We start from the raw sequence: 13,101 nt of genomic DNA on the forward strand, positions 1-13,101 counted from the left end.
GGAACCCTGCCCTGGAAAACCATCCAGCAGGGCAGGCAGGAGGAGGAAGGGGCTGCAGCCACTGGAGGAATTCTCCAGGGAGTTGAGGGAGTGCTCATTGGAGAGAGCCCATTTCCCCGGGAGCATATAGGAGAGGGTGGGAGACAGCTGCAGGGAAAGCCCTGCTACAAGGAGGGCCTAGTCAGGGATGGCAGCCCTTGGATTTAAGGCCAAAGCAATCCTTGTGAATGTTATTCAGCTGCAGAGATGAATGCTGAATTTATCCAGGCTGGAGTTTGCCACGTGGTTCTGATGAAAACAGTGGGGATGCTGAGACTACTGGCTGAAGGGATGGGGCACTGAATCTACATAATGATGACCTGGGGTCCAAGCGTGCTTGTTTACTTACTGTTTAGAAACCATTTGTATCTTGAGTGCAGGGCATGGCCGTGTTCTCCACTGCAATCCCATCCTGTTGTCGGTCACCTTCCTGAGCAAGTGCTCTGGCGGCAGGGGAGAAAGGCTGGAAGGACAGAAGTGTGGGTGGAGATGTCTGAGTGCATGGTCAGAAGTGGGTCACCCTGGAGATGGCCTGCTCCAGGGGGTGGCCCAGGATGTGGGAGACTGAGAGGTGGCGTCAAGGGAGGGGTACCAACCTCTTTCAGTATGGTAGTATTTTCCTGACTTTACCACTGAGAGCCCCACGTTCCAGGAACCTCCCCATTCCTAGGTGAACCAGGCCAGTTTGCCACCCTAAGTGGAGGACAAGAATATCCTGGAGAAGCCAGGGTGTTGGCAGGTGGTCTGTGGAAGCTACAGTCACACAGGGTTGACCTCGTGGGCACACATCATTTTTTGCCACACTTTGTATGTGTGACCCCTTGTGCATGTTTGTTCATCTGTGGGATGGGGCTTTTTCCTAGCCCTGAACTCCAGGAATAACAACTATGTTGAAAATGGCAAATATTTTCAAGAGTGGGAATACCAAAGCATGGCTACATTGGCATTTTTGAGTCTGCAAATTAGGTGCATTTTATGCAGAGCCTTAAGAAATCAACAAAAGTAACCTGGCTAATTCTTTCTTTTCTTTTTCTTTTTTTATTTTTTTGAGACTGAGTTTCGCTCTTGTCGCCCAGGCTGGAGTGCAATGGCACAGTCTCGGCTCACTGCAACCTCTGCCTCCCAGGTTGAACCGATTCTCCTGCCTCAGCCTTCTGAGTAGCTGGGATTACAGGTACCCACCACCACCCCCGGCTAATTTTTGTATTTTTAGTAGAGACGGGGTTTCACCATGTTGGCCAGGCTGGTCTCCAACTCCAGATCTCAGGTGATCCACCTGCCTCAGCCTCCCAACGTGCTGGGATTACAGGCGTGAGCTACCGCACCTGGCCTAATTCTTTCTTTTCTATTGGAAAATTAACTGCTGATTCTCTGCAGTCGTGTCTATTTTCTTAGAACTTCTAGTAATGGTAATTTGTAGTATGACATGAAAGGACTATATATCAATATCATAAATTCATTTAATCAAGCACACAAATCATATCAGGAATGAAATAGTCTTTGGTTAAATAGATCTAGTTTTGAAAACAGATTTTACATTTTACATGCATTACATGGCACAAATAATCACATCATTACAATTCAAATTGTACAATAATTGACTTTCTGTTATAGCAATCAAATAAGCATCAATAAATTATCCTAGAGAGGTTTTATTTTCAGAACAGTATTTGATAGTTCAATTATTTAAATAAATACAGACTTTTTGGAAAAATTGTAGAAATACCTTTTTTTTTTTTTAAGAGACAAAGTCTCACTCTATCACTCAAGTGTGGTGGCATGATCACAGCTCAGGAGGTCAAACTCCTGGCCTCAAAGCAATCCTCCCACCTCAGCCTCTTGAGTAGCTAGAACTACAGGTGTGCACCACCATGCTGGGCTTTTTTTTTTTTTTTTTTAATAAATATTTTTTGTAGAGATGAGGTCTCACTATGTTGCCCAGGCTGCTCTTGAACTCCTGACCTCAAGTGATCCTCCTGCCTTGGCCTCCCAAAGTGTTTGGATTACAGGCATGAGCTACCTTGCTCAGCCTAGAAATACTTTTCAACCAAAAAGCGACTCTCTTATAAACAGCTAATATATACAAGGCATATTGAAATAAGTAACATCAGAATTATACTCTATGTCAAAATCATGGATATATATAGTCACTGTAAATAAAAACATGGTGGTCTGGATAGACTTTAATTAGCTTATTCACTAAAACAGAATTATTTCCCACAATATTTAGGGGAAGATTACTGGAAATATAGTTCTTCTCTATAAAATCAGTGGAGAATCATTATATACACACTTGGATACTTATATACACCTATAGCTTACTCAACGTGTTTATATCAGAAATTCGAAGATGTCCTCTCCTCCTAAGTGACCCACTTAAAATCTATACAGCAGATTTGTTGAATTCTTGTTAATTTGTATTTAACATTAAATTGAACATATTTAGGAAAATTTTAAAGAATTTTACACCTCTTCTGCAAATGGATATATTAACGGTTAACAAATGAAATGCTGTCTCTTTGTACTAGGTTTTGGCTTATAGCTCAGTTCCTCATTTTATTAGGGACTAATAAGAGAGAGAGTATAAATGCTTTATTAAGCTAAGCCCTAAATCTTGTTTATGTTAAGCTTTTTACTCAGAGATAATTGTAGATTCTGAGATAGTTGTAGATAACTGTAGATTCACATGCAGTTGTAAGAAATAATACAGAGATCCTGTGTTCTTTTTACCCAGTTTTCCCCAATGGCACATCTTGCTAAACTACAGTACAATATCCCAACCAGGATTTTCACATTGATTTGGTCAAGATACTGAATATGTCCATCACCACAAGGATCTCTTGTGCTATCCTTTTATAGTTATGCCCAACTCTCTTGTTCTCCCCACTCCTCCCTGGCAACCCCTAATCTATTCTCCATTCCTATAATTTTGCATTTCAAAATGTTATGTAAATGGAATCATACAGTGTGCAAACTTTTATGATTGGCTTTGCTCACTCAGCACAATTCTCTGGAATTCATCCCAGTGGTTGCCCATGTCAGTAATTAGTTCTTTTTTATCGCTGAGTAGTATTCCGGGCATAGAGGCACCATCCACTGTTTCACCAGCCACCCGTTAAAGGCCATCTGATTTCTCCAAGTTTTTGAACATTATGGATAAAACTGATATGAACATTCATGCACAAGTTTTTGTGTGAACCTCTTTTCATTTCTCTTGTATAAATGCCCAGGAGCAATTGAGGGTCAGTATGGCAGTTGTATGTTTAGTTTTATGAGAAACTGGCAAATGGTTTTGCGGAGTGGCTGTTCCATTTTCTATTCCCACCACTAGTGTATGACTGACCCGGTTTATCTGCATCCTTGTCAGCGTTTGGTGTTATCATTATTTTTTATTTTAGCAATTTTGGTAGCTATGTAGTGATATCTCATTGTAGTATTAGTTTGCAGTTCCCCTAGTGACTAGTGCTGTTGACTGTCTTTTCATGTCTTTTCATGCGCTTATTTGCCATTTTTATATCCTCTGCAGTGAAATGTCTGTTCATGTGCTCCATTTTCTAATTAGAATTTTTTAGCTGTTGAGTTTTGACAGTTCTTTATATATTCTAGATACTAATCTTTTGTTGGATATGTGGTTTGGAAATATTTTCTCCCAGTATGTGGCCTGTCTTCTCGGCCTTTTAACATGGTCTTTTGCAGAACAAATGTTTTAAATTCTGATGAAGTTTAATTTATCAAATTTTCTTTTATGAATTGTGCTTTTGGTATCAAGTCTAACAACCCTTTGCTTAGCCCTAGTTCCAAAAGATTTTCTATATCCTATAGTTTTATAGTTTTACATTTTATTTTTACAGATATGATCTGAGTTAATTTTTGCATAAGGTATGAAGTTTAGTCCAAGGTTCATTTTATTTTCCTATGGATGTCCACTTACTCCACACTTATTGAAAAGGCTATCCTCTGTTGAATTAGTTTTGTACTTTTGTAAAAGAAAATCAGTTGAGCATATTTGTGTGGGCCTATTTCTAGATTCCCTATTCTGTTCCATCAATGTGTTTCTATGCCTCCACCAAATACCACACTTCTTGAATACTGTAGCTACATCATAACTCTATATTAAATAGAATGATTTCTCCTACCTTATTCTGCTTTTACAAGACTGTTTTAGCTATTTCAATGCCTGTGCCTTTCCATGTAACTTTTAAAATAAGCTTGTATAGGTCTACAAAATCCTTGTTGAGATTTTGATAGGAATTGCATTAAACCTAGAGATGGAGATGGGGAGAACTGATATCTTTACTGTTTGTATCTTCCAATCCAAGAACATGGTATCTCTCTTTCTTTGTTTAGGTCATTAATTTCTTTTCTTAGCATTTAAAAATTTTCACTACATAGGTCCTGGGTAAGTTTTGTTTATACGGAAGTATTTCACTTTGGAGTGATTGCAAATGGTATTGTGTTTTTAGTTTTTTTCCCCACATGTTCATCGTTAGCATAGAGAAATGCAATTGACTTTTGTATGCTGATCTTGTGTCCTGAGACCTTGTTGCACTCACATACTAGTTCCAGAGTTTTTTTTTAAAAAAAATAGATTATTTGGAATTTCTATGTAGGCAATCCTCTCATCTCTAAATAGGGGTACTTTTTTTTTCTTTCGATCTGTATGCATTTAATCTCTTTTTCTTGCCTTATTGCCATGTCTAGAACTTCCAGAACAGCCTCTAACATTTTAATCAATGTAAATTTCTAGAGATTTGCTGAAACACACTTGCCTGAATGGAGACCATCAAACTTAAAACTGTGAATTTTCAACACTATTCTTACCCAACCTTTTCAGGTTTCATTTCCTGTAATTTGGATAAATAGCTGATAACATTCATCAGTGGTTATGAATGGCATCCACTGGGCAAAGTCCTTTGAAGCAGCAGTGACCTTTAATGAGCTAAATGGAACCTGACTATAAACGCAAACCTAGCCAGGGGACCTTATCTGCAAGACAGGATCAGGAGGCAGAGAAGCTCCCAGTATTAAGGTGTGAGGTTGACTTATGCAATACATTTGAGCATGTCATTTGTTCTTCCAGCTTTCTCCCCATTTTTCTAAATTGGGAGTAGCAATAATTTTAAACTCTGAAAATATAAAATTCCCTCAGAAGTACCTTATTCTTATATATTAGAAATCACTACTGTTAGGAACTCTTTTGAGGACTGGCTTATGACAAATAAAGAATTCTCTGCATCTTACTATGTTTTTAGCAATAGATAATTAAAATATATTTTGACAACTCAAGCTCTCGTCGTATGTTATTTTGTTAAGCAAAAGTTCATAATCATTAATAACACTCTTATTTACTTGAAAAATGTATATTTCCTACATATAGTGATGTGTTTTTTATGTTATACAACCTCCCTAACCTACCAAAGAAAGTTTGTAGCCATTACAGAAAGACAGAAAACTTGGGACAGCTCAACCCTTTATAGGTTTTAATGATCAGAGGTCTTAGATATATATACATAGGTCCATGTAGACCTTAGAAGTGTACACAGGTACAGTCTAATTTCTCAAAAACACTAGGAGCTCCTACATATAATATGTAGAAAGTTTTAAATCTGTAGTAAGAATCAAATTTCAGAGACTTTTTTTTTTTTTCCAAAAGCAAGAAACATCATCTCCAGGCAAGCTAGTCCTTCTTTTTTACAATCACTTTACTGATTTTCCTGGTTCAATTTCTACCCATGCATTTCAATAACTCTTTTGTTGTTAAAACTGGATGTCTTGTAGGAACCACTCCACCTGTGTCTGCAGTGAGCTGTCTGGGATGTGGACTCAGCCCCTCTGAGTCTAGTTTTCTTGTCTGTAAGAGCCAATGATGACGTGCATCTCATTGGTTGCAGGGCTTAAATGAGATGGCTTCTGTTGAGGGCCTGGCCCAGGGCCGGGCAGGCAGTGGGCCCTCAGTTACTGGCTTCCTTTCTTCCTTCTGTAACGTGCTGCCTTTACTTTCCCAGCTTCACCCACTCCCCTCTCCGCTTTCCCCACCACAGAATGGAGAGCTTCTTATTTTGGATGCCCCTGTTCATGCATGAGAGAGGGGAACCCTTGCCAGAAGTATGAGCAGCAGGGATCTGGGGAGCTTAATGTCAAAGCTACTCCTTTCTCTTTAATGACTGCCATGGCTGCTTACATAGAGAAGGGCTATGCACAAAGCACCCTATGTTCTTACACTGTTTTCATGTTATGGTGGGAGAAAAGCTGCATTCTAGCCAGTATGACCTAATAATGCATCTGCAATCCACCAGCAGGAGGAGTAATCCACGGACACACAGTCCTCCACCCTCACCCTAAAAACAATATTGTGACTGCGTGATGCACAGTCAGCTGCTTCGTGGTCACAGTGAACTTAGAACCAAGACTGCATTTGGCAGAGCAAGCAACAAAGATACTCTCACAATACAAAGCAATCACATTGTAGGTACAGGCATTTTTTTTTTTCCTTAAACAATGAAACAACAATGATCTCAACATGTCATTTTGACCACCAGCTATTATATGATTTCTGAATCGATGAGTCTGGATTGAATACAATGGAATAAAGACTATCTACGTGAAGTATCTGTGTGAGTTGGAGATCTGCAAATGACCACTTTAATCTCAAATCTAGCATAGAGTTCCCTGTTCACCCTCTCTCATTCTGCTGCAGGGATGGCAGGGCTGCTATGAACCCTTCAACAAAGAGACAGTGGTCAATAGCTGTCTGGCTGCATCACTGAAAAGGTTTTCATTTAAGTGCAAACACCAAGGACTTTCTTCTCACTCCATCAGGCCTTTCTGGGAACTGCTTTGAAATATTCCTCCCTTGAAATACTGGATGCGCCTCCATACCATTTCTGAAGCCAGATATGTTCTATCCTCATCTTCATAAAGAACCATTCATATTGACGAGGCCACTTCCTCATCCCTGGGTGCCTGCAGGAATAAAGAGAGACCACAGTAAAGCTGCTCTTATCAGAGAGGTGCACCCTGGGCCAAGTCATAGGACCTCCAGAGTCCAGGCCTCATTTGGGCTGACAGCTGCTCACATCAGCCAGAGGCAGAACCAGGGAGCTGAGTGTCAGTGCCTGGGACCACCGTAGGAAGCCAGGGACTGTAGACCTTACCCCATGTGGCTAGAGGCTCAAGACGTGGGCCAGGCTCCTTGGTGTGAATCTCAGTTCAACTGCTGATGAGCTGTGACGCCAGTGGGCTGTTGGCACTCACAAGCCTCTGTCTCATTACCTGTCACGTGGAGTGATGCTGATGCGGCTCTTCATAGGGCTGTGTGGGGAAGCAGGCAATGAACCACACAGAAAACACCTGCAGAGAGTGAGTGCTCAGTGGAGGCTGGTTACCATTCTTTGGAAACATAAAGAAAGGCTTTATGCATCTCTATATGAAATGTTAACAAAATGGTGAGCTTGTGAAACCAGTTCGTTCATGGGAAGATTTCCAGTCGTGCAGCAGGCTGAGAGCTACTGAGGCAGGTGAGAGCCAGCTAGAGTTGACAGGCAACGTCACATCCCGTCTTGTGCTGTTGACTGACTTGCCTCTCCCCGATGCATACCCCTAAACACGCTGCAGTATCGTTGAGGGCAGGGGCTGTGGCTTACTTCTTTTTTTTAACTTCATAAAAATTTCCTTTATATCTAAAAAATGTCATAAACATAATTCAAAGACCGAGTCCAAACTGGGAAAAACATTTATTACAAAGCAAATGCAATAATAGGTTGATGATCTTTATTTATTAAAAAATTTTTTTTTTAGAGATGGAATCTTGCTCTGTTGCCCTGGCTGGAGTGCAGTGGCGGGATCATAGCTCACCGCAGCCTCGATCTCCTGGGCTCAAGCGATCCTCCTGCCTCAGCCTCATGAGTAGCGTGCCACCATGCCTGGCTAATTTAAAAAAAATTTTTTTTTTTTTTGTAGAGATGCAGTCTCACTATGTTGCCCGGGCTAGTCTTGAACTCCTGGCCTCAAGCAATCCTTCTGCCTCAGCCTTCCAAAGTGCTGGAATTATAGGTGTGTGCTACCACACTCAGTCAATCATCTTTTTAAAGAATAATTTATTTTGAAACAATAATAAACATACAGGGAAATTGGAAGTACAGTATCCAAAACTATTTTATTTTCTTAATCCATTTGAACAAAAGTTGCTGATCTGATGCCATAACACCCCAAATATTATGCAGCCAAGATAATAACATGATTGTTGTTTTAAGAAACCTACTTTTGTACTGATAACTGGAACAAAGTTTGATACCTGGAAGTGGTGCTGGTGCAGCAAACCCTAATCCATGGGGCACTGGCTCTGGGCCCAGGCACTGGGTGGAAGCTGGAAGGACCCTGAGGAGACTGACAGTGAGGGCTTATAAAAAGGTAGTGCCTGGCTGGGCGTAGTGGTTCACGCCTGTCATCCCAGCACTTTGAGAGACTGAGGCGGGAGGATCACATGAGGCCACGAGTTCGAGACCAGCCTGGACAACATGGCAAAACCCTGTCTCTACTAAAAATATAAAAATTAGCCAGCCGTGGTGGTGCACACCTGTAATCCCAGCTACTCGGAAGTCTGAGGCACAAGACTCACTTGAACCCAGGAGGCAGAGGTTGCAGTGAGCCGAGATCATGCCACTGCACTCCAGCCTGGGCAACAGACCTGGACTGTCTCCAAAAAAGGTGGTGCCTGTGGGTAGTCCTAGCTACTCAGGATGCTGAGGCAAGAAGATCCCTTGAGCCCAGGAGTTGAAGGCTGCAGTGAAATATGATTACGCCACTGCACTCCAGCCTGCACAAAAGAAAAAATCCTTGCCTCTAAAATTAAAAATAAAAGCAGAAAAAGCTACTGAAAGCTGGAGGTAAAGGGATCTACATTATGTAGTGGTAGGCAAACTTGGCAATGCTGTTGTCTGTAGTTAGGTAGAAAATAGGAAATGTTCACATCTTTCACCCACTTTTTGATGGGGTTGTTTGTTTTTCTCTTGTAAATTTGTTTAAGTTCCTTGTAGATTTTGGATATTAGACCTTTGTCAGATGGGTCGATTGAAAAAATTTTCACCCGTTCTGTAGGTTGCCCGTTTGCTCTCTGATGATAGCTTCTTTTGCTGTGCAGAAGCTCTTTAGTTTAATTAGATCCCATTTATCAATTTTGGCTTTTGTTGCAATTGCTTTTGGTGTTTTAGTCATGAAGCAAAAGAAGACATTTATGCGGCCAACAAATATATGAAACAAAGCTCATCATCACTGGTCATTAGAGAAATGCAAATCAAAACCACAATGGATACCATCTCATGGCAGTTAGAATGGCAATCATTAAAAAGTCAGGAAGCAACAGATGCTGGCGAGGCTGTGGAGAAATAGAATGCTTTTACACAGTTGGTGGGAATGTAAATTACTTCAACCATTGTGGAAGACAATATGGCGATTCCTTAAGGATCTAGAACCAGAAATATCATTTGACCCAGCCATCCCATTACTGGGCATATACCCAAAGGATTATAAATCATTCTGTTATAAAGATACATGCACACGTATGTTTATTGCAGCACTATTTACAATAGCAAAGACTTAGAACCAATCCAAATGCCCATCAATAATAGACTGGATAAAGAAAATGTGGCACATATACACCATGGAATACTATGCAGCCATAGAAAAGGATGAGTTCATGTCCTTTGCAGGGACATGGATGAAGCTGGAAGCCATCATCCTCAGCAAACTAACACCAGAGCAAAAAAACCAAACACTGCATGTTCTCACTCATAAGTGGGAGTTGAACAATGAGAACACATGGACACAGGGAGGGGAACATCACACACCCGGGGCCTGTCGGGGGGTGGAGGCAAGAGGATGGAAAGCATTAGGACAAATACCTAATGTATGGGGGACCTTAAAACCTAGATGATGGGTGCAGCAAACCACCATGGCACATGTATACCTATGTAACAAACCTGCATGTTCTGCACACGTATCCCAGAACTTAAAATAAAAATAAAAAAAGAAAATAGGAAATGAACCTAATGAACCCACTGATCTAGGGAAGATTTTGGCCTCTTCTCATTGCTTATAATAACATGTGAGAGGAGAAGAACTAAAGAACTAGAGTTGAGTTTAAAAGCTAGCAATAAAAAATAAAAATAAAAAATAAAAACGTTTGTGCGCACACACACACGCACACTGACATCTGTTTCTTTAGGTATTGAAAGCCATGAGCTCATGTGAACATATCCAATCCCAATCATTCTAGTTTTCTCCGATTGTGCCTTTAGCCCTTTTCTGTGTCCTTACAAGGCTTGCTTATTCACTGCATCCCTGCGTGCAGGATCTTCTTCCCATGGGGTTGTGGATCGCCCCTCCAGCTCAACACTTGCCTTCGTGTTACTCTCCCTCTACTGCAGACCAATGCCTTCTAGCCTGTTTCCATTGCTGCACCAGCCTGCACCCCAGCTCCGAGCCTGCACTTCCGGCGGTCCCTGCATGGACACCTGTGGAAAGGCCACCCCCGCGTGCATGCGCGGTCCTCTGCTTGCACAAGCTCTGACTCCAGGCTGGGCCCCCCTCTCACTTGTGTGGACCCCTACAGCAGTAGTTCTCAAACTTTAGCATGCATATCAATTTCCTGGAGCATGCCTTTCACAATACAGATTCCTGAGCCTCATTTCCGGAGAGTTTGATTCAGTAAGTAGGTTGGGGTTGGGCCCATAAAGCTGCGTCTAAGTCAGCAGCCTACTGATGTAAGAGCGAGAGCACCACACTGAGAAACGCTGCGCTGGCATCCCCAGCAGGCAATGGGCTTTGTTTCAAGTGGATGCTTGAAAACGTTGTGTTGACGAGGAAGGCTCAGCTATTTTCACGGCAAGGCAGGGCATTGTCAAAGGTTGGAAGTAGGTAGGAATTGTACCTGGAATAGCTCAGTGCAGTGCTCTCCAGAGGCATTCACCCGGCTTCTGCTGCCACTGCTAGTGATCTCCATAGCCAGGCTGAGCTTGGCCCTATTCCCACCGAAGGGCAGTGGAGACCAATCACTTATTGCATCAGAGGCATCTAATGGCACAGCCTGACCTCTGCTTATTAGTATTGTGTATTTCTGGGCATATAAATTTTAAAGCATTTACACACCTTGAAAACATGGCTTGCTTGGCAAATTCTACTTCTTCTGGAGACACTGCGATCATCTGGCCAGTGAGCGTTAACTGGACACATCGGGGATCTTCCGGATCAACGATGTTTTTTCTGCATGTGAAAAACATTTTTTGTATATCAGAACAAGGACAGAACATCAGCCAGCAATTCTAACGATTTTATAAACTTAAAAATAGTAGTCACATTCCTGGTTATATCATTCAGGTTATGGATATTCCTGGTTATATCATTCAGGTTATGTTACGGATAGTTACTTTAAAATACTCAGGCCTTGCAATAGGTGTGCTTATGTAGGTTAGATATCAGTCTGCATTCTGGGGCAGTGAGATAACATCTGAAGCGCCCTAGGCAAAAGTGCACATTTGAGGGTGGAGGAAATTGAGACGGGAAAGTTCCCTGACCCCCTCGAGGGACTTGCGACAGTGGGGTAGGGTGGGGTTCGGGGGGGTGGGAGTGCTTGTTTTGCTTGCAGGAGGGGGAGTACACAGGTGAGCAGGTTCAGGAGCTGGGGTGAGTGCCTTTTTAGGCAGGAATGAACCCTGTACCAAGTTGCCCACAAACTCTGGAGTCCCAGAGGGCATGTATTACAAACAATGCTCTTTTAGTGGTTGCCGTCAGTGATGGCTAAGTGTTAATCAGCTCAGTGGCGAGTCAGGGTGACGTACACCCTGCCCTCTTGGTACCCAGGTTCTTGTCTGGCATCCAGGAAGAATCAGGTCATACAGACTTAAAGGCTGGTGAGTGCAGAGGTTTTATGAAGCAGTGGAAGTGGCTCTCAGCAGAAGAGCTGAAAAGGGGCTGGTGCAGGAAGGTGATCTTTCCCTGAGGCCTGGCCATCTTCAGCCAGGCTCCTCTCCAAAGTCATGCCGTCTGAAGTTAAGCTGCATCTATCCATCCTCTCCGACTCTCAGTTGCTTCTTCGCCTCTCGAAGTCCAGCTGCTTTTCCCTCTGCCAGCTGCGGTCTGGGGTTTATATGGGCCCAGGATGTGGGGGCAGGGCAGGCCAAAAATCAACATTCTGGCTCAAAAACAGGAATGCCTGTTCTCATTTAGGGCTGCCGGTCCAGGCTTGAGGGTGGAGCCCTTGCCAGGGGCCCTGCCCTCCTGCCTCCCATTCCTATCAAAATGGGGAGTTATTATTCAGAGGGAACAATGTTTCAGTTCTGTTGTGAATATGTTCTAGAGATCTGCTGTACAACATAAGAGTTCACAAAATAATATTGTGCACATAAAAATTTACTAACAGGGTAGATCTCATGTCAGGTGGGTTTTCTTTCTTTTTTTTTAACTGCAGAAACAAAACACATCAAATGGACACAAGAAAATTTTGGCAGGTGTTGGATGTGTGTGTAATAGGAATGGCATCCCTGGAGTAGTACAACGCTTCTGTCTGGATCCAGCAGTGACTGGAATAAGGGCTTTCAAATATTGCTGTCAGAACCTGCACTGGAGGGTTCCTTAATCAGCAAAAAGCATATTAGAAATAATAAGAACAGTAGTGTGATCATATTTGTGACTGCTTGCTAAGAAATGTTTCTGTGGTGACAGAATTATCCTAAGACTTGTTTCCACTGTAAAGGTCACCTGGCAGTGACGATGTGGGGAAGGGAACTTTTTCTTCTTTTTTTTTTGAGATGGAGTCTCGCTCTGTCACCCAGGCTGGAGTGCAATGGCGTAATCTTGGCTCACTGCAACCTCCGCCTCCCGGGTTCAAGCAATTCTCCTGCCCCAATCTCCTGAGTAGTGGGGACTACAGGAATGCACCACACGCCCGGCTAATTTTTGTAGTTTTAGTAGAGACGGGGTTTCACCATATTGGCCAAGCTGGTCTCAAACTCCTGACCCTGTGATTCGCCCGCCTCAGCCTCCCAAAGTGCTGGGATTACAGGCGTG

The 13,101-nt window shown here is 42.5% G+C and overlaps 1 protein-coding gene across 1 annotated transcript in view; it reads right to left on the reverse strand.

Annotated features, from left to right (window-relative positions):
• Positions 1 to 1,481: 1,481 nt before the first annotated feature.
• The window catches only part of CREG2 (cellular repressor of E1A stimulated genes 2), a 41,954-nt gene continuing 30,334 nt past the window's right edge, over positions 1,482 to 13,101 (reverse strand). The window contains exons 3-4 of the mRNA NM_153836.4: positions 11,185 to 11,298; positions 1,482 to 7,002 (exon numbers count right to left, since the gene is read on the reverse strand). Of these exons, the coding sequence (NP_722578.1) occupies positions 6,855 to 7,002; positions 11,185 to 11,298 (262 nt within the window). The 3' untranslated portion in view covers positions 1,482 to 6,854. The remainder of the gene's footprint in view (positions 7,003 to 11,184; positions 11,299 to 13,101) is intronic.

This window comes from Homo sapiens, chromosome 2 (genome assembly GCF_000001405.40).
Source record: "Homo sapiens chromosome 2, GRCh38.p14 Primary Assembly".
In the NCBI taxonomy this organism is placed as follows: domain Eukaryota; kingdom Metazoa; phylum Chordata; class Mammalia; order Primates; family Hominidae; genus Homo; species Homo sapiens.